General features: G+C 38.5%; 1 protein-coding gene across 1 annotated transcript in view; it reads left to right on the plus strand.

Annotated features, from left to right (window-relative positions):
* Positions 1 to 27,511, plus strand: part of KCNB2 (potassium voltage-gated channel subfamily B member 2) — a 401,125-nt gene that overhangs the window by 252,235 nt on the left and 121,379 nt on the right. The gene's annotated exons all lie outside the window — the stretch shown is intronic.

The raw sequence follows: 27,511 nt of genomic DNA on the forward strand, positions 1-27,511 counted from the left end.
AGAAGACATTACTGTTGAGCTGGCTGTTGAAGGATGAAGAGAAGTTGACCAGGTAGAGAAGGGGGAGGCAGGCATGCAGGAAGACAAAGCCGTGAAGGAACACAGCTTACTCAGGCATGGAGAGTAGGACTTATATCAGGGAATGGCCCTGTGTGAGATCAAGAACACAGAGAGGACCATGCTTTATCCTCAAGACATCAGGGGACCCTGGAGTTTTTTGAGCAGGAGAGAAACATAAAATGAAATAAGTTTTGTATTTTGTTAGGGCACTCTGATGGGTGCCCTAACGGGGTATTCTGGCATGGAGAGGGCAGTATATCAGAAAGTTGCACCATATTAGAAAGAAGAATACCAGTTCACCACTATAGTAGGCCAAGCAGGAGGTGATATTAATCTGAATTCAGGAAATGGGAGTAGAACTGGGGAGGAGAATGTTGAAAAGATATACTTAAGAAAGAGATTTGCCAGTAGTTTGCAGTTAATTAGAGATGAGAAATGAATTGAGTGAGAAGGTGAGACTGACTCCCAGGTTCCTAGTTCAAAGAATTGGGTGAAATATGATGCTCAGAAGCAATAGAGGGGAAATAGGAGAAGTGGGTTCAGAGTGGATGAAAGAATTCCATTTAGATACTCTCAGTTGCTTGTGTGATATATAAGTAAATGTTGCTGTAAGACAACACTAAATGCAATTCTGGAAGCCCAGGGAAAGAAGTCAGGGCTGGAAGTGGTGATTTGGAACCAATTATCCATAGGCCTTGACCTCAAGTCAAGGTAGTAAATGAAAGACCCCAGGAGAGCAGCTTGGGAAAGAGAACCCTGCTAAGGTCAGCACCCAGAGGAACTCGAGTAAATGAAGAGACACTAACCAGGGGAGTCAGAGACACAGGAGAGAACCAGGGCAGAGTGGCATTCTGGAAGTCAAGAGAATTCAACAGGGTAACAGGACTCAATGCCACAGAGGATAAGTGAGGATTTTTTAAATGTCCACTGAATTTGACAAGTAGGAGGTCACTGATGACACTGCAGAAGTGGCGTCGTTAGAATGTGGGGACAGATGCCAGATTATAGTGGGTAATGGGAGGAGGAAATGCAGGCCTTGAGAAAGAATATGTTTTTAAGAACTTTGGCACTCGAGGGGAGGATTGTTCTGTGACAGCAGCCAGCAGGGAAGCAGGACCCAGAGAGAACGGGTGGTTTTTTTTCTCCTACTACCTCTTATATTTCTAACAATATCCTAATTTTTCAGGTCTTTGAAAAACACCTTACAGATACTTTTTAAAGTTTTCATTTGCTAGTGATAAATAAAATGTGCTTGTATGTGTAATTTGTATAGAAGATTTTCTTATACTTACTCTATGTCCAGCTGACATAAAAGTCTTAATAAACTGGTCTTTCCTGAGGAGTATCAAGTTCAGAATGCTTTCATATACTCTTTCTCTGTTGGTTTTCATTCAAACATATTCTAAATCTGTTAATGTTATTTAATTTGTGTTTACTGTATGATGAGAATGAAGAAAACAACCTATGTGAGCATTTCCATGAATAAACAGACTGGCTTGGGGAAAAAACAGTCAGCAAATGACTCTTCCCAAGGATTTGCATGTTCAGAGCATTGACAGGGAGAGATTCTTAAAATGTGACTGAAATGTTCAGAGTGATTAGTATGAGGCAAGATGTTAGAGACTCAGGCAGTTTTCTAAGCTTCAGACAAGAGAGATCTACAGTTCTAAGAAACAGGGATGTACCCTTTGCAAGTAGCCCATTTTGGCATCCTATGGGGATGCCAAACAGCTGTAAAGAATGCTTGGGGCTGGGTGCAGTGGCTCACACCTATAATCCCAGCACTTTGCGGGACCAAGTTAGGTGGATCACTTGAAGCCAGGAGTTTGAGACCGGCCTGAGCAATATAGCAAGACCCTATCTCTACAAAAAATAAAAAATTAGCCAAGCATGGTGATGCATACCTGTGGTCCCAGCCACTTGGGAGGCTGAGGCAGGAGGATTGTTTGAGCCTAATAGATCAAGGCTGCAGTGAGCCATGATCAGGACACTGCACTCTATCCTGGGTGACACAGGTGAGACTCTGTCTCAAAAAATAAAGAAAGAAAGAAAGAACTCTTGGATCCAGGCTTCACTTACTCCTTAGAGGAAACACAATTAATTAACTGGATTAGAAGGCCCTCCTTGGTGAAATACAGAGTTCCCTTTGATGAAGCATCTTCATCAGTTCAAACTGAAAGGCCACCTCTCTTCATGAAATGCCAACTGAAAATCATTTGAGAGCAGCCAGTACTCTCCAATTTTTCTGGCTTGGTTATCTGTTCCAGAGGCCCCAAAACTGATCCAAGCACCTTTGCAAAGTAAAGAAAAGAAAAGACCTCAAGTAACATGTTGAGATAATATCTTCTAGGGCTTGAAGTAAGATTTGTCCATGTTAAAAATCTATTAGTAACAATAGGCCTACTTCTTTAGTACTTATTATATGCCAGGCACAATCCTACCAGTGAGTGTACCTACAGTTCAGAGAGAGAAAGAGAAAAATCACAAGGATTGCCTGGGGCTTTATAGACATGGTTCATGTTTACTATAGCAATCCAATGAGGAAGGATGTCTTCATCCCATTTAGCAGCAGTAAATGGGGCTGAGAAACTCAGTGGTTTGTCCAGGGTCACAGAGCTGGCAATAGCAGAGTGTCCAATGTAGGGCTCTGGGCCTGAGGTCTGGTCTCCGCCTTGCTCCAGGATGCCTTCTTGTAGCCAGATAGTTAAGCTAACAAAACCCCTTTGTGCCTCTCAGTAGATTGCACATCCCACATTTCTCTGGCTTAATCAGCATTTTAAAAATATTTTTCCCCACCTCCCAAGCTGTGTGTTTACTTTTTATGACCACTAATAGCATTTGTGACTTTGTAAGCTAAGATGATGAAGTAAAAATCAATTTGTCTCAAGGTAAAAACTAACCATCTTTATTATCAACAAAAGATTTCTCTTGTTAGGAATATTTTCTACCTGTATTAATGTATTTATGTATTTAACAGATTTTCCCCTTCTCCCCAGGCCAAATTGTATTGACCGTCAGTGGCATTTAAACTGGTTGCATGGTACTTGGGCAGCCTAGGGAAAAAACTTTAAAAAATACTGATGCCAGGATCCCATACTCAGATATTCTATTTTAATTATCCTGTGGTGGAATCCAGGCATATATATATTTTTAAATTTTCCTAGAGGGTTCTATGGTACAACTAGAGTTGGAAACCACTGACGTCCACAATCTGATAGCTCTACTGATAGCCTGAAAGCTAAATCATGTGTTTATAAGACATCCAAGCCTACCCAGTTAAGTATCTTACCTTGATCTTTTATATAATGTCAGCCATATGGAAGATAGCATAGTGAAGAATCAATAGCACTTATCAATAAAACCATAGGTCCCGGAATTCTTTTTATCCTTCTGATTAAATATCTTAGAATTTAAGTTGTTGAAATGTTTAAGAAAAATGAACAATAACACCCTTTCCCTCTCCCCTCTTCAAACCAAAGAATGACGGTTTGAAACCTGTGACTAGCTAGACAATTCTAAATGTTCTTGTTTGTTAAGCAACTAAAATGTCCTGGATTTTCCAGTACAGCATCAATTTCAAATATCCTTTCGTATTCTGATGATTACACGGATACCACATTTATGTGTTCATTCAAGTATTTGGTGAGAACCTATCAGATTCTAAGTACTGGGGTTGGTTTCTGCTTTTACCAAACTTAACATCCTAGAGGGAGGATTAGAAATGAACAAATTAATGAACCAGAAAAAAACTAGTGCTAGGAAGAAAAAAACAAGTGTGTCACAGATACTAATGGGTAGTTACTTGAGATTTAGTGATTAGGGAAGGCTTATCTGTGGAGGTGACAATTGAGCCAAGAAACAAATGACAAGAAGGAGCCAGCCTTGTGAAAATCTAAGGAGAACACATTTGGAGCAGAAATTCCCTAAGCAGGAATGGGCTTAGTGTGCTAAAATACCACGAAGGAAAGCAAGAATCAGAGGAGACATGGATGTGGAGGTAGGCAGTCAACCAGTCATGTAGGCAATGTTTCTATAGTAACTCTGACTGCATCTTCCAGATCTCTTTAAAAAAAAATACCAAAGCCTAGGCCCACCCCAGTCCATCAATTCAGAATTTTTAGGATTAGGGGAGTAACTCCACAAAATGACCCCTTAAATAAATGATCTGAATGTTTTCTGCTACTACTTTTAAAAGTTCTGTTAACAGTTGTGTACTGTGAATAGAATGGTATTTTTAAAGCAACGTTAACCAGTTTAACAGAAAATACACTGCATGAACTAATCCATGTGCCACAAAAAGGGCCAAATGTTTCAGTGACACAGGAAATCCAATTACAGTTGCCTTGAGCTTAGTCATTTATTCATCAGAGAGTTTCAACATTTGATTTCTCTAGGTGTTCCCCATGTGCAGAAAGGACTGAGCCACTTAAGTAAGCCTTTGAAGGCCAGGGTAAGGACGTAAGGAAATGGAGTTTTGTTTTATGTATAATGAGAATTAACTAACTGAATGGCTTTAAGAAGGGAAGTGATGCCACTCAGTGGAAAATGGATTTGGGCCAACTCAGCAAGATCAGAAATGAGGAAAGCGGTTAAGAGACAACTGCAGTATTCTAGAAGAGAGGCAATGGTGGTTTGTCCTAGTTTGGAACAAGTAGAGAGAAGTGGTCAGGTTTGTCATGTTGCAGGCATAGTTACAAGTGTAGAGTCTACAACATTTACTGGATTGGAGATGGGATGACTTCTACGGTTAAGGTTAAAAAATGGTGGCCGGACACGGTGGCTCACGCCTGTAATCCCAGCACTTTGGGAGGCTGAGGTGGGTGGATCACGAGGTCAGGAGATCGAGACCATCTTGGCCAACATGGTGAAACCCCGTCTCTACTAAAATACAAAAAATTAGCCGGGCGTGGTGGCACGTGCCTGTAATCCCAGCTACTTGGGAGGGTGAGGCAGGGGAATCGCTTGAACCCGGGAGACAGAGGTTGTGGTGAGCTGAGATCGCGCCACTGCACTCCAGCCTGGGCAACGGAGCAAGACTCCATCTCAAAAAAAAAAAAAAAAAAAAAAAGGCATGGATGGTGATATTCTTTACCAGGATAGAGAAGGCTAGGAGAGGAGTAGGTTAAAGGTAGGTGACTAAAATATACATATGTAGAATCTGTCATTCAACTTGCTGATTGGTCAGTTAAGTGACAAGATCTAATAGGCAATTGAATAGATAATTATGGAGCTCAGCACAAGATTGAGGTGAGAGATACAAATTTAGAAGCCCCCATTATGTAGAAACTATTCAGAGTCATTGAGATGGCTTAAGAGTATCTGGAGAGAAAGCAGCCAAAGGAGAAAGTATTTAAAGCAGAAAGGAATGGCCAGCTGGGCCAAATACTGCTGAGGGTCTAATAGAGAAGTAACCACTGGAAAAAAAAAGTTGTGTCTCCATTTTAGGGTTTAGGAAATATGGTCACCATAGGAAATACTGGTAATGACAATAAGATTCTTTCTACATGTTAACAGATACATTTGGCAAAATAGCCCTGGACTGAAAATATATAGGTAAAAATGGTAAAGATGTGTGTGTGGGATCGGTACAAGATCATTAAGAGGTAGTAAGATTTAGAGTTTTAATACCACTCCAGACAAAAAAAGCATATGGATCACATTTCTTTCTAAAGTAGAAAAAGTGGATGTGTTACAAAGTAGACAAATAGTGACTCAATAAATTTTACGTATTTTCTACTTGCCTATTTAAAAGAAAATTCCACTGGACCTAGAGTTGATATGTAAGATACAACAGTTGTGGGCTAGGCTAGAAATTTCAATCCGTAAAATGACCTATTCTGGGACTAGGGGAGCAACTCCACAATATGACCCTTTAAATAAATGATTTGAATATTTTCTGCCACTACTTTAAAAGTGCTACTGAAAGTTGTATAATGTGAATGGAATGGTAAGCTATTTTTTAAAGCAACCTGAATTTGTTTAAAGTAAAATACAATGCATGAGCAAATCCATGTGCCACACAAGGAGCCAGATGTTTCAATGACACAGGAAATCGGATTACAGTTACCTTGAGCTTAGCCTTTTGTTCATCAGAGGGCTTCATTTCCAAAAACAAACAAACAAAAAACTAAAATTAGAATTTCACCCTTCAAATGTCCTAAAATGCCTCATACATATTAGTGTGAACTGGGAAAGGGAGCTGAGACATTGTAAAATTCCTGAAGATGGCTCTAAATACATACCAAACAAAGCCAAAAACATTTGTGCAACCATTGTTCATACTGATGGTAAAGAACAACATATTCCTGTTATTCTTCATACAGCACGCAAACAAGCAAGCATCCCTCTCAGAGAGGCATAAAATTATGCATCAAAAACCAAACTAGCTTCTATAATTTGAAAGAGTTTGAAAGCAGTAAAGTCTTTTTCCAAATGACTGATACATGAATATGTGGCCCCCAGAAACCATTGTCCAACTTGCAATATGGTGTGTAACGCCCAGAAAAAAGTATACCCAATAAAGTAAAGCTCCTTTCTTACATAATAAATAGATCATAATAGTTACCCTTTTAAGGCTCCATCTGGCATGCCTTACATTAGGCAGCCACATTTATGACCCATGATCTCTTGTATCACCAGGAAATATTTACTGAAGGAAATATTTGTTCAGGTTTGTTTGTCGTGGGGTGACCACCTGGTTGGAGCCGATGTGATAGTCAGTGTTTGAATTATCACAGATTCAGGTTTGCTCTTTACAGCCAAAATCTGGCATTTCTCATATCTCCCTGGGTTTTCATCACAAATACAGAAGGGTGAAATTAAAGACATGATCTTATGTATTAAAGGATATAAAGATAAATATGTTTGCTCCTTTTTTATTGAGGTAAACAGCTGGCTAATGTTAATCATACAGCCAGCGATTTGGTAACTTTCCAAATATATAAAAAATAAATTTATTTTATCATTATTTCTGTGACTTTTAGATGGTTTCAGAAAACAGATTCATGTCAAATTTAAAAGTAATTATGGTTTTCAGCTTCCCACTGGTGCTGTGGGAGAATTTAGAAATATATAGGTCATTTTTTTGAGATAATAAGATTGGGATTAATGTACCTATCCAATCAAATCAGAGTTACTCTAACTTACTAAAAAGTGTAAATCAAAATGCCCTAAAAACTCCTCTGGAAATGAATCAGGGAAACAGTTTTGGCCCATTGTCACAGAATAAATAAGCCAAACAAATATTTTCGATCTTATAGTAGCTAAAATAATTGTATGAGAACTTTGGTTTGTCACCAAAATGATATCAACTGAATACTGAAAAGTATACTCTGGGGTGCATGTCTTATGTGGAAAATTTTAGTTCCATTTTGCAGTGTCTGTAAAGTTATTTTCTGATAATTCCTGAGCAGAGAAAGCTTGCTAGATACTCTCAGAAATGTTTTTAGGTGAATCTGATAACCAATTAGGATCAAGTGTGTGAAAGTGCTTTGTAAATTACAAATAATTCTATTTATTTGAGCATCATGACCTCTCCAGGTCAATAACGATGGTACGATATGACATTTGATATGATATGATTTAATAATGAGAGCCTCAGATTCTACTGGGCTCCTTATTTTATGATTCAGGTGATGCTGGGGATGACATTTGTAATCTCTAAAAGAGAATCCTTGTTTGCCTGAATTTGCAAAGATTATTGTTAAAAGTATCTTAAAAGATTTTTGAAGAGTCTATTAATACAGTCAGCTCAAAGACTTCTGGAAACGTACTATATACTAAAATGAGTCTTCCCATTTTGTCACCTCAGAAACCAGAAGTTCCAACTTCCATGGCTTACTAATAAACATAATCCTGCCAATAAATTATCTCCCAACCTGTTTGTGTAATAAAAAATTGACCTCATTTAAATTAACAGCGGAACACCTCCAGGCCAGGGGGCTGCTCTCCCCACCCTAGAGGCCACAAGAGTTTAGCTTTTACCTCCTGTCAGTTTGATCAGTTTATTTTTCCACTTATATTTTTAACTTTATCACTGAGAAAATGTGCTACAAATAGGAGTAGCTTAATAAAGTGAAATGAAGTTTGTGAGATTCAACATCTAGCACCTGCCAGGTTTAGAGCATTTTCTCATCCATCTGGGATAACCCATGCTGACAAAGCTTAGCTCTGTGAAACCAATTATCCACATCGCTTACAGGGACATGGCCTGAACTAGATTATGATTATGCCCACTGCTGTGAATACATGACAACTCCCAGGGGTTGCGTGTAATGCCACTGTGGCATACCCCATGGATGTCTTTTTGGAGGGTGGGAAGGGTGGCAAACAGCTGAAAGAGGACTCCCAGTGCGTTGCAATTTTTTTAATGTGTTTTCATGACCAAAACTTTTAAAATTTTATATCTGTGTCTAACCATGTCTTAGATCCCATTTCCTATCTCACTTGTCCTTTACAACATTGTTTTCCTATCTCATTTCTTTCCCTACCATTTCCCTTCTTCATATACAACACTGAACTCTTTCCTTCAAAGTATTTTCATCAGGATGGTTTATGATGGGTCAAGGTTGGAAAACACATAGCAATTCTGCATTTGCCGTTGATGCTAAGCAGCAACTTACATCTTCTGCATTTTTATGACTTTTAAGAAAATAGCCCCTAGTTTGAAAATCTGCAAGCTCTGCCTAGATTAGTGATACCCATAGGAACTTTCCTGTTATGTTTTAAGACTAGCCTACAAAGATTGAGTTTTATCCCAAATCTCTGCATCTCAATGATTTTGTAATCCAAAACAAACATGCAATTCTTCAGTGACACAAGCATGAATGCCCTGACACGCCTACTGGAAGGTGAGCTTTTTCTGAAGGCAGGCTCTGTGTATATTTCTTATATCATCCTACCATAGCACTCAGCATAATGCCTTGCTCACAGAGTGGTTCACTAAGTGCTTGTGAAAGTGGCCCTTCTACTTCTACCTTCTGCCCTTCGACTCCTGGGAACCCCCAAATAGCTAAATATTAAAACCTACCTCCCGTAACTTGGGAATCCTGGTCAAATTTAAACACATACCAATAGAGATGTTGATAAAGAGTGGTGTCTTTTTGGTGGGAGAAAACTTCCCCTGGCTCATTCCCACCTCCCATCTCCCACCAAACACATTGGTATTCCATTTCTATTTCCTTACTTCATCAAGGACCCATTCTCACAGTATTACTCCCCCTAATGGTAGAGACAGTCTACCATGTAGTACAGATTTGTAGGTTTCCAGTGGATTAATACGAAAAGCCCGATTCCTTTAAGAACTGGTGTTTTAGGGGAGGAGGCACAGGATGAGCAAGTTACCAGATAACTATCTGGTGGGGCAAGGAAGTGACAAAAAAGTGAAGAGAATCTCTCGCTATCTTTTTTCTTCTTGCAGCCCCTTGACTGCCAAGCCTCTCCAGGACCACATTTGCCAACAGAGCACCACCATCTCTGGGGGCATTATCACTGTGAAGTATCTCAACGGGAGTCTCAGAGCAGAGCTCTCTTAGTTATAGGCTTTAGTTCCAAAATGCGGAAGACACCCAAGCTATGTCCCTGTGTGAAGACCACATGAGAGTGCCCCATCACCATCTTCTCACCTCTATAGATGGCCCCTTGGTCACATCATCACACTTGTTTTGCACAATTCAGAGAGCCAGGTGAAAAGTACTAGAGAATAAGTTTTTCCTACATTCTAGTGTAGTGCTGTCTCCTTCAGCAAATCAATGTTAGTTTTCTTAACTAGAAAATTAAAATAACACTTTCCTCCTGACCCCCATCTAAAAAACTAAATAAATAACCAATAAATACGCATTAAGGACTCAACTCTTTTTAAATAAAATGCACTGTTCAAGAGCACATTATTATTTTTTATTATTATTATTCTCCAATACAGGTTTGGTTTTCAGAACTCCACAAAACATAGCGATATTCACACTTTTAAACAAAAATAATTTACATTCAAAACACTGATGAAACAAATTTCCTTAGCACTTTTCTATGTTTCTAGAAGCTCGAAAACCACATTGTGGATTTTAAGAAAGGGTAGGGAATCAGACAAGACAATGATGTCCATGACCATAGAGTTACAATGTTTGGTCTGTCAGGTATCTAAAAAGATAGGAAAAGAAGGACAAGTGACACAAAAGTAGCAAATACGTATTCAGTACCTGCAGGCTCTGTACCAGATACCGAAAGATGGAGGTATCTGAAGACGTGGACATAAAAAATATAATTGAAGGAGAAATTTGATTTGTGGGAGGACCCAGATTAATTTTAGTCAGAAAGGCTTCTAGGAAGAGGCTGTGTTCAATATGAGCCCTGAAGGATAAGAGATTTTCAGTCCTGCTTAGAGCAGGACAGTTTACCTGTTGGGGTGCTTTCTGGCAAGGCTGCGGTCCATTTCCCTGGTCCATGTGCAAAAGGGAAGATAAGAGAACATTGGGCTAGCTGGTTGAGGCCAGAGCACGGTGGGCCTTGAAAACCAAGGCGAAAACCAATTTAAATGTCATCTGTAGGCCTTAAACTTTGAAAGGTTTTGAGCATGGAACTGAAACGATCAGAATTATCTGTATTTAAGTATAGAAGCAGGCATTTATCTAGGGTCCCATGAAATACATACGTGTGTAAACATATTTTGTTTTGCTTCTTGGAATGGCTTCATAGGCTGGAGAGGATAATTTTAAAAATAGACCTTTAGAAACCAAGGTTGGCAGAAGCATCATGTCATTGAATATAACTATCCTCCTTCAAGAAAACAGTCCGATTTATTTTGTGGAAGATACAACAAGCTGCAGCTCTGTATTTCAACTACAATTCATAAATGTTTACAGCGTTCAACACCTGACTCTTGACTATAGACCACTGTGTCTCTTGGCTAATGATTTTTGTTATTAAATAAATTTGAATTTTGTATGATAAAAAGATTCCTGAAGTAGTTTGTTTATTCTTCAACAAAAGCCTCTGTGTTTGTAAAGAATCCCCAATGAGGCCAATAGCTCACTTGAATCAGTGCCTACCTCCCTTAGGCTCCATATTTGAAAAAATATGGTTATTACCCAGAGCTCCATAAAAGATTCAATATCTAATTTGTCTGTTGGGAGTCAATAAATAACTTTTGCCAATGACACAATCTTTACTATCTTTTTATAGAGATTTTTGTCCCCCAGACCCTCAAGGGCAAGGAGGCAATTGGCTGCCGTTGTGTTTATTATTATAACAGATAGAATTTCAGATTCTGTTTCTGAAGTGACACTTTGTGGAGTGACACTGCATTTACAGTTACTGATAATAAAAATGGCTCTTAAAGTGGTAGAGTTTGGCTTCCAATAAGAAGAATACCAACTAAGTTAAAACTTCCCCATAGGTGCAGAGTCTTCCTGAAAGAGTGAAACTTCAGTTCCAACCTAGGTTGATGCCAGAACTCACAAGTGTCCCTCACATTATGTTTGCTCTGTTTCCTGTATGAGATGGTTCACTAGCGGCTCAAAATGTGAGCAAGAAAAATTGACACTGAGATCTGAGTGTTTTTCTGCCCCCTACCCCCACTCCAGGGAACATAATGCAAGCTAAACCCCTGTTAGACCTTGAGAGGATGGGGGCAACACTAAGTTTTACTAGAGTCTTTTGAATTAAAAATATGCCATTACTTGGTTTAAATAGTACTGTTTTACAGCATAGTAGTCATCATATACCCATTTTTGTAGATGCTTGTCCTAAACACCTAAGATATCTTTATTGCTAGCAGTGTCCTTTCTTTCTAAAAGAATAAACATAACATTTTAATTCTGTAAAAAGAATAGAACATGCTCACTGATCAGCTCTGAACACTTTTGTGGTGAGCCCCCTTGGGAAAATGTATATTGTACCCATTGTAGTTCAGGTTTTAGAACTGAATCCTTTGAAGGTCAGATAGCAAGATGCTTTACTTTTGTAGGTCATTTTGTTGTCATAATAGTTTCCACCATACCTAATTTTTTTTCCGAAGCATTTCTTCATTTCAAAATACATTTATTGAGTGTGAATTGAAGCAGTGGATAAATGAAAATGAATGACATGTTCCATTCCTCAAGCCTAGTGAGGAACAGCCATTGAGTAAACTCTTCGCTATAATACGATACAGTGAGGACTGTGATAGAGGTAGAATCAGGGTGCAATAAGACCACCAAGGAGGAGGTTCTTTACCTTGGCACATCTGAGAAGGTGTCTGCAAAGAGGTGGCCTGTAGAAGCTTGGAGGGGGAGTAGAAGTTCCCCAGATGGACTAAAAGAGGGCTATGTGACAGAAAAAGAAAAAAAAAACAAAAAACAAAAAACAGCAACCTGCCCTCATTTTCAATTTTACACATTTGCTACAACAAATGTAGAATCACTTAAGCTGTTCCTCTAGGCTCTAAGAAGGGAAAAACTTAACATTTAAAATAAAATTTAAGTAACTGATTTCCTTATCAAACCTCTGTAAAAGATAAGTTTATTATTAGTCCTGTTAGCCTGCCCAGATCTCAATTTGAATAATTACATTCCTCCTACCTAATTCATCCCTGTAGTTTTAATTGGTTTCAGAACTTGACTTGCTTCTTTTCAATTGTTACGTAGTATTGTTATTTGGTATTAAACAGCTGTTACGTTCTACCACAGAGCTGAATATTTTTCAGCAACTGATGCGGTGATTTCAGTCCTATAAGGCAGATAAAACAATTTGCGAGGGCTTTGACATGACAAATAACCCCTAAATGGATAGACGTGGCATTAATTATTGGTAACAATAGTTACCATCCATATAGTCACTGCTCTTAGAATAACACAGAGTATTGTCTTCAGTCTATAAAGTCACACATGCACAGAAAAATTCTTGTTTCCTTAGATATTGTCTTTAGATATACACTCAAAAGTATTGATGTTCTTTCTTTGCTGATATTATATTAGTTTTAATTAAATACAAGTTGTAGTATACTAAGGACAGATGCTTATTTTGTTTTTTAATCAACTTAGAGGAAGTTTTTTTGGGTCATTTATGTGTTTGGCAATGTGCTATGTAACCATTCTTCCTTCCATCACTTGTTTGTTTATATCTTACTGGGGATGACAATATTGAAAGTCTGCAACTAAAAGCTACTCTGAAGCCTGACTTCATTCAGCATGTTCATGAATTCATCATCTTAGGGAGCCACCTTATTGCTGCCACTGTTGTTAAGGGCCCTATTTGATACCCCTAATGGAGACTAGCATTCTCTGCCATCCATTATGGTTTTCATGTTTGGTTAAAGTTCAGGCCCAGGATAAGCAATAATGACCTAATTAGTAGAAATGTAAACAGCTTCCTTCTCCATCTCTTTCACATCAATAAAAGGTTTTCTTCACTCTTTTGATGAATGCTGTGGAATGTCTGAAATATCTGTCTCTGAAAACTGGTGTTCAGTGAAAGATTTATTTCTATCTAAATGTCCTTAAAATGTACCACCCAAATCTTTGAAAAGTTGTGCGACCTAGAAAAATGATCGCCACCATGAGACACATCCTCACTGCTGACAACTGTAGCTCTGTGTCCATGGTCTCGACCTGTGGAAATGAAGAAGGCAGAAAGCACTTCCTTCACGTTGCGGGGTGTATAAGGAGCAAGGGCAGCACAGATAGACAGCATCAGCATCAGGGAGTCAGAGCAGATGATTGCTGACCCGGGCTGGACCCCCAAGAGCCAGCCAACTCCCTGTCCTCTGTCTGTTGTGGACACAGCAGTCCACCCTCCATAACTTTCCCTGTATTGCCTGCTGCTTCCACTCCAGAATGGTTTCAGATGCCCATGTCTTGTTTTATAGCATCTCACCAATATGTTCCCAAACTTCCCTGATGGCAGGAATGTTCCAAAAGCCATTATAGTCACTCTAGAAAACTAGGAACTACATCACCAAAGTAGCCTCCTACCTGGACCACCAACATCACATCTCTATACACTGGACACAATAGTACTTTCACATACCCATGGTAACTAAAATACATATCAAACTCCCAAAGAAGTCCTGGTGTATAAGACTGTGTAGTAAATATCAGTTCCCTCCTTCACTCCTCTCTATAATCCTGTGAGATTACGGGTCTGAAAGAGAGGGAGTTAACACTACCTGCAGAAAGTGACATAAGAATTTAGTATCCCAAGATTAGTTTTGGCCTAAGGGCAGGAGGATGCAATGCTGAGAGAAATGCAAATGAGTGAAGAGATGTCTGGCAAGGGCAGAGAGAAGCCAGAAGCATGAACGAGGGTTACAAACTGTGCTTCTTCTGGGCTGCTGGGATAATGGGGTTGGAAGAACAGAGAAAGCAGGAAGGAAGAGGTGAGTAGGCCTGACCTTGGGCAATAGCTTTACCTTTCCATTCCAGGTAGAGAAGTGTATCTGTGCAGGCAGGAAGGCACTTTACAAGGGTAGCAGAAAGTGGTGTGTTCCAGAAAAGAAAGTGGTTCAGCATGCCAGAATGAACGCACGTGAGTGGACATGGCGGGAGAGGGTCTGGAAAGGAAGTTGGGTCTGCTTGTGAGGACTTGCAGGCCTTGTACAGAGTCACCCCTATCCCCAAGGCAGTGGGAAGCAATCAAAGGACTGTTAAACAAAAGGGCAGTTTCTGTTAGCACAAGTACAGCCAATATACTGAAGTGGGGAGAGATTGTAGAGAAGCAAAAAAGAAACAAAATAAGGAAGCTTCTTCAGTAGTCCAAGGCAACGGCTAACAAGAGCAAGTATACCTGCCTTCCTCCCGGTTTTTTTTTAACCTCCGTGTTACTACATATCCTTCTCTTTACTCACTGCTGTGATGGAATATGGAGCCTAGAAAATCTAGTCTATTTTGCATTATAAAGTATCATCAGGATATGAAAACTGCTAATGGTCATTTGGAAATAGGATCACAATGGGGAAAGATTGAACACCTAGGAACAGAAAAAAGAATTAATTAAATTAAATCTTGTGCTGATGAAGATTAATATTGGTATTTGATTGCACCTCCATTAAAGGTTTTCCAAATCAAAAGTTTTAATCAATGTGTTTCTTCCTGGCTTTCCATACCACCCCAACTCCCCTGAGGTTAAGCCAAATTAACTTCTAATTAAAACATAGCATTTGAAAATGACTTGTGGGGCTTTGCCACATAATTAATAAAATGAAAAGAATGGCAATTAAGTTCTGAAAATTCATTACCTCATTGAGCAAACACTATTGGAACACCTGTTGTCTGTAGTATTCGACTTATATGCTAACTGTTGGCACTACCAAGATGGAAAAAGCTATTCCTGCTTCTTAGAGCTGGGGCAGAGGCATGGAATGGGTACGTCAGGATTGGACTGAGTGAGAGAAATGAAAAGGAAATCCTGGACCCCACAGGTTTCACAGAGGAGTGGGTCTTTTGCTCCTTTGAGTAGATGTTGCAATGAGAATATCAACCTCAAGTCATTAGGTTAAAGATGAGACATGGCTGCGACTCTTCCGCTGGGCACTGGGGTCAGATTGCCAGGTTCAAATCCCAGTTGCTCACTTACCAGCTCAGTCTCCTCACTGGAAAAATGGAGAGCCTCACCTCACAAGGATAATTCTGAGGATCATGTGCGTTCATACACACGAAGTGCTCAGAGCCGTGCCTCACACACTGTTATCATTGCCATTAATATTAAGATCAGTAGCCAAACACTTTACAATAATGAAGAGGAAAAATAAAATAAACTTCAGCAAGATCAAATATGTCAGGAAAGAAATATCTTTCCCCAATGTCTCCTCCCTCTACAGAAGTATATTTTCTCCCTTTGGCCATGGTTCTAATCAGAGAGTTATCATTTCTACAATCAGACAACCACAAAAAAGATACTGTTGCTCTCACTTTCCAAAATTCTGCCTGGCCTCCTCCTGAGGAAAGTGTGATATGGTGCTGTGTGGATCCCCTAAGGGAATTAGAAGATGGAGTTGAAGAACATTATCTTAGACTATAAGTCTGTCTGCATACAGCTATGTTCTCAAAGATTATTCCTGCTGCAAATAAAGATCTTGGGAAAGAGCAATATAGAGTTATCACAGTCTATTGACCCAAAGATGTTTAAAATTAGCCCTTTTTACCCCTCATTAACCAGATTGATTCATGCTCCTCTCACCCCTAAACTCATTTTCAGTCTGGTTTTTTAAATGGTATAACCAACCAAAATGCTTACAATTGTTCTCGAGGTATGTGACCCTACCAACATCATTATGCCCCTTTGGCCACTTCATGAAATGCTTCTCTGTAGTTTGTTGGCATAAAACCTGCAAAGGTAACCTTTGTGCAAAAAGAGACCTGACTACTGGAACCATGTATTAATAATGTCCTTCTCTATTAGCAGTCAAGGTGTTGTAGGAAGGGCATTGGGCTGGATGAGGAAAAGAGACCTGGCTCTAGTCCTGGCTGTGACCTTGAGAAACCACAACTTCTACAGCTTCAATTTATTCATTGCAAAGGGGCAGCAATAGACTTTGTAACCCCCTATTGTTTTACTTTACTTCATGCTCTCAATTCATTAAAAATGATGAGGCCAGACATGGTGGCTCACGCCTGTAATCCTAGCACTTTGGGAGGCCAAGGTGGGTGGATCACGAGGTCAGGAGTTCAAGACCAGCCTGGCCAACATGGTGGAAACCCATCTCTACTAAAAACACAAAAATTAGCCGGGCATGGTGGTGCGTGCCTGTAATCCCAGCTACTTGGGAGGCTGAGGCAGGAGAATCACTGGAATCCAGAAGGCGGAGGTTGCAGTGAGCTGAGATCATGCCACTGCACTCCAACCTGGGTGACAGAGCGAGACTCTAAGAAAAAAAAAAAAAAAAAAGAATAATTTGGCCAGGATCAGGAGATCCAGACCATCATCCTGGCTAACATGGTAAAACCCCATCTCTACTAAAAAATACAAAAAATTAGCCAGGCATGGTGGCACATGCCTATAGTCCCAGGTACCAGCTACTCAGGAGGCTGAGGCAGGAGAATCACTTGAACCCGGGAGGCAGAGGTTGCAGTGAACTGAGATTGCACCACTGCACTCCAGCCTGGGCGACAGAGTGAGAATCAGTCTCAAAAAAAAAAAAGATGAATAATTTAATCAAAGATGTAATTGAATAAAATCCTTAATAGAAAACTGTAAGATTATTTCATTTCTTCATTCAACAAGTATTTATTGAATGTCCAGTGTGCACCTGAACCAGGTACAGTGATGGGACAGGTAGTGGACAAGGATGGGTCTTTAATGGAGCATATATTTTAATGGGCAGAACAGACAATAAACAGAGAAATTAGCAAACTAATTTCAGATTGTTGGAAGTGCTCTGAAGGAAATAAGTGAGTGATGAATGAGAGAACAGCAGAAGGGGGCTCACACAGCTAAAGAATGTATCACAGATCTCTCTTTCTTCTTCCCTCCCTCTCCTCTTCTCCTCACCCCCTTTGGGGCAGATACATCTTAATGGTGGCTAGAATGATAAAGATTGGCATGAAGGAAATGGCACGAAGGAAAAGGAGGAGAGGTTTCCTAGAGAGGGTGCAGCCCACTACAAAAACCCCAAGGAAGGAAAATAATTGGGATTTTTAACAAAACTACCAGGCCTAAGTATGCACACATTAACAGCCAGTGGAAGATATATGGCTGTTTTTGGAAGCTGCAGAGATATGGTTCACAGCACGCAGCCATGTAGGTTATGTCCTATATCTCAAAACATGTCTCCTCCCAAAAGAGCTCTTGAGATGAGCATATGAACCATATACTGTGTGAAAGCCAATACAAGCAAGCTGTTTTCTGGGATACAAGGTTCTTGTGAGAATCATATGAGATGCTCTTGAGTAAGCCTTTGTAAACTTGACCACCCTGCAGGTATAAGTTATTACTGTGCTTCCTGCTAATATAGATCTTGTTGATGGCTTCTGAAAGCACCATTCACCCTAAGTAGACATTCGGAATGGCTCTGTGGGCAGCTGTGTTCTTTCCTGCTTCTATCTGCCTTTGCATGTATCAGACTAACCTTGCTTGGAACCCTACTCAGAGCATCACAAAGGTGAAGTCTGACCTTTCATTATCCAGACAGACAGATTTGTGTTTGACTTGCTCACTGTGTCCCAAAAAACTGCTCAGCAGCATGAATCAGAAAACACCATCTAGATGACATCTGGGCAGGGGATAGCCAGCTACTTCTGTGTCACACAAATGAAAAGCCAGAATAAGAGTCTCATTTGGGTCACGCATTTCTTCAGGATAATAAATAATAATAAATGAAAGAAAGAAATGTAGATAAAAACGAGCACATGTAAAGAAGTGAGCATTTTTCTAAATCCTCTGATGAGTTAGTAAGTGACATACTAATTTACTTACTCTTATTTCTTTGGTTTAAATAAGAAATTAAAGATAAGGAAACAGAAGGGCAAAGCCAGTTAGTAAAGGTGAGGTATGAAAAGAGCTGAAATATTGCCAGAATATCCTACCATGACAATCTCCCGATGCTAATCTTGCCAACAGTTTCAATGCAAGTTATACAAGAACCAAGAATCTTCATGTTGCAATGTTTCTTGGTTTGCCCAAATAGACCTTCAATTTGATTTCACTGAATCTTATGCTGACAGGGATCAGTACTGCCCTGAAACATGGTTTTCTAATATGAGCTCCAATGCCATGAAATAGGATGGATTTTATCAATAATTTCCTGCATATCACTGATAAATTTTAAAATCTATACTTTGATCAGAAGTCAATCTAAATATATATAATAATCTCATAATATTTTTTGAATATTTTTTGAAGCTTCATACTATTTCTAAATAAAAGCTTTAGATTTTTAGATGACAACATACGAATGAACTACTAAATGATCTGTTTCATGTCATAGTTTTTAAAAGCACCTAATATAGTGCCTGGCATATAATGGACAACTCAGTAAATGTTTCTTGAATGAAAACTGTTCAGCACAGTCTATTTCTAACAAGAGTCAATGTAATCTAGCCCCCATACAAACCTTAAGTGTGATCTAGAATCCATATCCTTCATTTATAAAGTGGATTAAAGTTTCAGAGGATGCTTGCAATTAGAAATATTAGCCATGAAGCTTTTAGTGTCTTTGCGGACATTTTTCTAATACCATTGAGGATTAGATCATTTAGTAAGAAAATAGACAAAGATCCCATGTACTTGACATAGTGCCCCACCCCACCCCCAAGCCAGCTCTTCAGCTAGTTGATGCCTCCTTATCTATCTAGTTCAGGGTCATGTCCTAAGGGAACCTTCCTGACCCTAAATCTGCATCAAATCTTTTACACACCCATAGTACACATTCATTGCACTCATAATTCTAGCCTTGTTAAGGATCTACTTGGAGTTTTGTGAAGATGAGGTCCCTTTAATTGTTCACACAATTCTAATTTTGTATCTATTTAGTTCATTACTCTTTGCACCCTAGACCATAAGATCCTTGAGGACAGGATCATGAAAAATGTTGCTTGCCATTTTAGCCTGGTGCCTGGCCAAAACAGAGTGTTCAATAAATATTTGTTTACTTCATATATGAAGTATGACATGGTTTTGTGTGCAGGACCTGTGTGGCCCATTAAGTTATCTTAGCAATCAGAAAAGCTGCCTTTAGATCTAGTAAGGTACTCTCCTGTGTTTTCCTTTAAATGCCCAGATCTAAGTAGGGATAGTACTTCATTCCACCTGAAGATAAAGTTCAAACATCATGTATTCTTTCTCTTTTCTAAGACAAACACTTTAACCAGTTTCCCTAACCAGTTTATCTTCTAATATCTGAAAATCAGCTGTCCTTCCTCCTATAAATCTCATTTTCTCCCAATGGCATATATGACATTTACAAATTAAAATTAAACTTTAATTAAAACACACAAAAGAGACAATGTTGAACTTGGAGTAGTTACAGCTCTTCTCCCTGGAACTCCTTGCAGCAACTATCATTACCCTGGAGAATTAAAGAGAAGTAAATTTGATTAGCTCAGGGACATTGGTCTCTGAGATAAAGAAAGACTTCTGCTTTCAACTTTATTAGAGAAATACATCTTTAAAACGAATCCATAGTGTTAATATTCCCCCCAAATATGACTTCTATTACTTCTCTGGCAAGGGTAATCAGTTTGTAAGAATGCCTCTTACTATGGAAGCCCCAAAGATCCCAAATGCTCTCAGTTCTCCAGTAGATTCAGTATACCATGGATGGAATCAGACCTTCCACCTTAAAATTTAGAAACAAATACCAAACTGAAATCCTATCCTGTCCTCTTTTTAAAGAAATAATTGCTTAATGCCTTTTGCAAAGGTACTTCATTTTTAGCCTTTTCTTATTAGCCTTTGTTTCTTATTATTTTATTTGTATCTCTTAGTTTTCAGTCTTAATACCCATCACTCTAACTATAATTACCTCACACTTCTACATACTGTCAATGGGACCAGAACACTAAAACCCCATTGGCTTAATATCCCTCTCACCTTTGCTCCTCCTAGAATGGTTTTTACCTGTACAACCAAGAGGCCTCCTGCCTAGAATGTAGGTGGGTGTGGTGGGTGCATCACTTGTACTTAAGATGCCATGGGGAAAGAGGAATGTCTTGAGAAAATGCCAGTCAAAAATCAGAACAAATCATCCAGTCAGGCTGAAGGAACTTACCGCAGAGGGTTCAGCACCAAGTGGACAGAGGTGAGAAAACAGGTGGGACAGAAAGGCTGCAAGGTTAGGAGCAGGAGGCTCATCTAATTTATCATCCATTTTATTTTGAGAATGAAAGGCACTATAAATAATAAGAGGCAGAAACCTGGACTGTCGCTGATAAACAGAGATTTGTGATCACTGTCATCAGAATGGGAAAGGAATCCAAAACAATCCTGCAGGCTCTGCTGTGGTGGAGGCTTTGTCTCTGTCCTTCTTTGTCCAAGTGTCCATTGCTGACCAGCCCTCCTCTGATGGGCATATGAATTTCTTCCTTTGTTTAGATAAGGAAATACCATCCATCAGATATGGCAAGTCTTGTCTTTCACTGCCAGTGTCCTTAAGGTGATATGCCTGGATGTCCCTAATGGGACCAATTATGTGTTAATTTTATAGTATAGCTATTAGAGGAGGACAGACTTATGTCCTTTATTCTCAAGTTTTTGAAGGAGTTCCTCCACCCTCCTTTAGTTACTTCCAAACATTTCCTATATTCATTAGAAGGACTTCTGTTTAAAAAGAGGTATTTTTCAAAGTTTTAGTGTTTGGCATCAAGCAATCTTGATGTTTGGCAGAGGAAAAGCATCCTTAACATCCCAACCTAAAATCCACATGTTTTGGGATGGACATTCTTATCTAAAATGCAATCAAATCAGTCAGAAGGGCAGGGCATCTGTTATGTCAGTTATGGTCATATGAATCATGGCTGAATTTATTGTACAAGTCACAGTTATCAAGCTAGAACATAAAAGCAAAGAGAAACAAGCATCACTTCATGAAAAGACAACTGTCCAAACCATATTTATGTTATCTTTTATCCTACCTTCTCGATCATTTCTTTTTTAGCTGATATCTTACATAGAATGTTTCAGTTACCTGGAACAAGTCACACAATGCCAGATACCAGATATGGAAGGGATTTCTTTTTTTTTTTTTTTTAACCTTCTTGAAATTAAGTCAAATTTTTAAATGGCTTTTCCCATTCTGAGATTCTAAAAGTATTTTATCCTTTTCTTCTACAACATATATGGTTTCATTTTTTTAAAACATGTAAATCTCTGGTTCATTTGAAGTTTATCTCCAAAAATTTAACATAATAAATTTTGAGAGGGAGAATTGATAGCTTTCTGTTGCCACATATTTTGATCTAAAAATATGGGACATCTTTTCACGTGTCCAAGTCTTACTTTTTATTCTTCCAAGATGGCTTAAGGTTGTTACTTCCACATTCTCATTGTTTTATCTTTGAGAATACTATCCTAAATGGAGTCTTTTCTTCGATTATGTCTTCTAACATGTATTTATGTATACAGAGACTATTGATTTCTATTAATTGATGTCTTACTGAATTCTCTCATTGTTTTTATGCATTTCTGCTGATTCTCTTGGGTTTTCCAGGTAAACATTTCCTTTTTTTAGTTTGGAAAGGAAATCTTTCTTTCTCATAAAGGGTTGCAGCCTGCAGTGTGGCCATTCCAACAGGCTGGGAAGCACAGCCTCCTGTCCAAAGCCAGAAAGAAACACTTCAAGGGAGGGACAAAGGGAACAGGAATTAATGCTGAACAGGGTGGCCAAATGTATATATTCAATAAGGTATAGGAGGAGTCATGAATATTTATGAGAAGAGAAACATGTGCATGCGCAATTGAGATTTATGCACCTTCACGGGTCCCACGTACAAAAAATTGTAGCATTAGCATGATCTGAAGGTAGAGCTTCCAGCCCTCTGATGTCAAAAGGTGAAGCAGGCTGGGCACCATGGCTCACGCCTGTAATCCCAGCACTTTGGGAGGGCAAGGTGGGTGGATCACTTGAGGCCAGGAGTTCAAGACCAGCCTGCCCAACATGGTGAAATCCCGTCTCTACTAAAAATACAAAAATTAGCTGGGCATAGCAGCTCGTGCCTGTAATCCCAGCTACTCGCGAGGCTGAGGGAGGAGAATTGCTTAAACCGGGACCTGGGAGGCGGAGGTTACAGTGAGCAGAGATCGCACCACTGCCCTCCAGCCTGGGCTACAGAGTGAGACTCTGTCTCAAAAAAAAAAAAGAAAGAAAGAAAAGTGAAGCAGAGGACACTTTGGGTATTCTTTCTTATCTAAAAATAGTACCAGATTTACTTTCTTCTTTCCAGTTTTTACACTTGTAATTTCTTTTTCTGGTCTAATTTTGTTAAATATTAGTGGTAGTGGTGGGTATCCTTGTCTCATTTGTAACAGCAGGAATACTTTTTTGTTTCTCCAGTAATTTTGATGCCAGTTTTTGACTAACACAGATGACAAATGGATAGATAAAAATATAGATATATATTTATTACATCAAGGAAATATTTATCAATTCTTACTTTAAATCATGTTTTTTTAAATAGAAATAGTTGCTGGATTTAGGCAACTACCTTTTCTGGGTCTATGGAGATGACTATATGTTTTACCTAAGTCTGTAAATATAATAAATTATATTAATAAATAGTCTAATATCAATCCATCCTTGTATTTCTGAAATAATCTCTACTTGGTCATAAAGTGTTATTATAATGTGTGTTGCTAGATCTTGGTAGCTACTATTTTATGTAGTATTTTTACATTGATATGCATAAGTTCTTTGAGGCTGTAGTTTTCTTTTTTGTGCAGTGCTTTTCAGCTTTTGGTATCAATGTTGTGCAGACATCATAAAGAAATTTGGAAGCTTTCCTTATTCTTCTGTGCCTTAGAGAAGAATAAATTGTGGGGAACTAGATGCTCTTTAACTATATGGTAAAATTCCCAGCAAACTTGATTGATTGCCTGCTCTGAGCCAAACACTGTACTTGGTTGCTAGAGATACAGAGATGAGTGAGGGATGGTCCCTATCTTCAAGGAACTCACCATCTAATGGAAACAATAATATATTACAAAATGGGGTATTGGTTTCTACAGTGAAAGTATGTAGGAAGTGCTAGGAGAATACGAAGAATGGTTTCATAAAGAGAGTAGGAAACCGTGCCCAACCAGTGTTGGTGATTCTCATGAGAAGGGCAAGCAAAAGCCCAAATGAAGTTATTTCAGAAGCTCTGTTCCACAAACCTGCCTCTGCTGCTGAAGTTCCTGTTGTAGTCTGAAGACTTTTTTTTTTCAATTAGAAACATCGTAAGACTTAAAACGCAGCTGCCCCTGGGAGATATGAAACTGCCACTTAAGTTTACACCCAAAAAAAATAACTTACAGACATCTCCCGAAGATGATTTTGGTACAGAAACAGTAAAGATTGTAAGGTCCCCAGCATGAAAGTGAGACTAATGAGGAAGTTCTAAAAGGGGAAGAAAGGGCCGTCAAAGGTAAACTTTGTCAAATTTACTCATTTACCTGAGTCTACCCAGGATGCAATCAATGAGTAGATTAGCTTGTCTCTTCACAAGTGTCTCTCCCTTTCTCTGCCCCCAGAAAGTTTTATTGAAGAATTATACACATACACAAAAATACACAAATATAAAGTGGATAGCTTAATTAATTCTCACAAATTAAGCATTCCCATAGAAACATCAGCCCCTTTAACCACCCCCAAGGGGTATTCTCCTCACTTCTATCATCATAAATTAGATTGCCTGTTTTTGAACTTTATGTAAATGAAGTCATGAGTGCATGCTTTTTTCTTCTTCTTTTTTATTATACTTTAATTTCTAGGGTACATGTGCACAACGTGCAGGTTTGTTACATAGGTATACGTGTGCCATGCTGGTTTGCTGCACCCATTAACTCATCATTTACATTAGGTATTTCTCCTAATGCTATCCCTCCCCCTACAACCCACCCCATGACAGGCTCCTGTGTGTGATGTTCCCCACCCTGTGTCCAAGTGTTCTTATTGTTCAATTCCCTCCTATGAGTGAGAACAAGAGTGCATGCTTTTTTTGTATCTAGTTTCTTTTGTTTGATGTTATTTTTGTACATTCCAGCCTTGTGAATACATATTAATTTAATTATCATTGCTGTATAAGTATTGCCTTGTATGAATATATCACAATTTATCCATTCCAATACTGATGAGCATTTAAACAGCTTCCAGTTTGGAGCTATTGTGAATATCTTGTACCGCTTATAAGCATTCTTGTTCATGATTTTTTGTTATCCTTCCTTTAGGGTATATCCATAAAAAGTGAAATTGACACGTCACTGAATAGGCAAATGTTCAGCTTTTACAGGTACGACCAGTTTTCCAAAGTGGTTATACTAATTTATATTCCCTCCAGCAGTATGTGAGAGTTCTCTTTGCTCCATATCTTCAATGGTATTTGTTGATTCCCATCTTTATCGTTTTAGCCATGCTGTGCAATCCACAAATGAAAGTTAGTTTAGTGCTTTGTAAAACTTTGGCTAATTTTGATTAAAGGAATAATTTTTTAAAAAAAGAAAAATAACAGAAAGTTTTTAAGTAGGCAAAGACTTCATTATTCAGATGATAAAAGTCCGCTATTTAAATTAATTTTCATTTAGATTGATACTAGGCAAAGTTCTAACATTGAGGACTTGCCCTTTTAAATGTTTCCATTCTAATATTGCTACTTTATTCTGCACACCATAGCTCTAATAAATGACATTGCCAAGTGTGTGTAATAATAATTGCTTTGAATAAATAATGCAAGATAATGAGCCAAAGAATAGTGTTTTGAATTACAGAGAAAACAGTGGGCTGAGCTATGATAATAACTAGAAAAATTAAAGAAGTCAATCAGAAGGTCAATACAGTTATTAAAGAGAAACAAAGCAGAGCCAAGCAAAGAGATATTTTTCTACTGAGGTTGTATAATTCCTTGTAAAATGATGAGTTAAAGGTCATGAAGAAGAAGTTGCAAAAATATGCTTTTTAATTTTTAGGATGTTTTCTCCACCATGATTCATGAGCTCTTTAACAAAAGCTACCCAGGTAAAAGTGGCAGGCAATTGTACCCATTAATGCAAATACTAAGCGCATCCTCCTTTTAATATTAAGGAAGAAAGGAAATGGAAATGGAAGGAGTAAAACAGAGAAGTGGGAATATTCTGAAACGGTTTCTGGGAAGTTACTTTCATGAGATACGGATATTTTAATTTTTTACTGCAAACTCTATCCAGAATGTACTCAGACATAAGTGCTAAAAAAAAATAAGGAAAGCCTATTTTATACCTTTCTATTCATTCTTAAGTATAAATTTTTAAATATACATAACATGTGCTTTCTCCTGTAGTAGCACTTATCAGTGTTACAACTGACTGTTTGTCTTCATTCCCCATAGACTATGCACTCAGGAAAGTCAGAGACCTTTGACCATTTTTCTCTATTGTATCTCCATTGCTTATCATATCATCTAAACCACTCAATAAATATTTGCTGAATAAATGAATGAATGAACAAACAGGGACCGAGACTAGGTTAATACTTTCCTTAGTCCTTCACTGACTAACTCCCAAATCTCATCTTTCATACCTTACATCTTAAAACAAAGGGCAGGGAGTTGAATCTAATCCATTACACTGAATTTCTTTACTAAAAGAAAAGTTTTGCATGCAGGATTCTACAGCAAGAGAGAGAATGAGAAGACCAATTTTGTCCTTGAGGAAGGTCAGGAGAGGGCATGAAGCATTCCCTAGAACTCTGAGAGCAAACCCAAAAATTGAAACCTTACTATGAAAAGCTTGTGAGAACTACATGAGGGTATGAAGAAATGGTGACATAATATAAAAGAAAAAATATTCAAGTGTAATTGTTTTGAAATAACAACAAATGATAGCAATGAGAGAGGAGAGAAAACAAGAAAGATTAAGGTTTTTGTAATTAAGTGATTCTAAATCACACCACTGTAAGTAGGACAAATTTTAGAATACTGTATTTTATAAAGAGAAAAAAACTTGAAGTCAGCAATGCTCAAGACCAAGAAGGGAAGCTGGGGTAGCATGGATCGTACTAAAATGAAAATAGATTTCCTTAAAGAGGGAAGATTGAACAGATTTCTGCAAAATGTGATGAATAGTAATGCTCATCACCATGAGACGTTAGTGAAGATAAGCCTCTCAAATTTAAGCTAGATCCCTGAACCTGGGTCCTTTGCAACTCACACAGCTGCCAATGCATCAGCCAGGTTTTATTTTAACAACATTTACAATTTCCCTTTCAGTTGAAGCAAGGCTGAGGGACCATCTGAACAGATAATGAAATAACTGTGAAAGTTCAGAGCATGCTGAACAAAACAAAATATGTTTTGCCTGATTTATGCAAACTAAACATATTGTCAAGGTTTTGAAGCAGTTAGTCCAAAATATGCACAAAATACAGCAATTTCTCAAGTAGCCTGGCAGCAGATGAATTCAATGGTAATATGTCTCTGAAACAGTTTAATCAGACTATGTAGATGTGCTGAACATTTTGATATTTTTGTGGTATGAATTCATGAATAATGTCTTTTCCTTAAAGAATGCCCTACCAAGCTTACCCTAAAACCTCAACTCTTGACCTGTCGTAGTGCAGTTCTTCCCTTAAGGATTCTAGGAGCGTCTTCATTTTTGAAGCATCTGTTAAAGAAGAAATGGAATTAAATGTTAATTGCTCCTTTCCCTGTTGTAAGCAAACCAGATCAATGGTGGGCCTCCACTGCCGTTTCTTGCACACTGTGACTCATCCCGAGGCCTCCAGATGTGGAACTTCCAAAGCCAATTGGAAGAAACTGTTCTTTGATAGCTCAGAAAACGTCCAGGTCTTTCTGTGTCTGTGGGGAGTTTTTCTACTCCCAAA

Source organism: Homo sapiens, chromosome 8 (genome assembly GCF_000001405.40).
Source record: "Homo sapiens chromosome 8, GRCh38.p14 Primary Assembly".
NCBI classification, from domain to species: domain Eukaryota; kingdom Metazoa; phylum Chordata; class Mammalia; order Primates; family Hominidae; genus Homo; species Homo sapiens.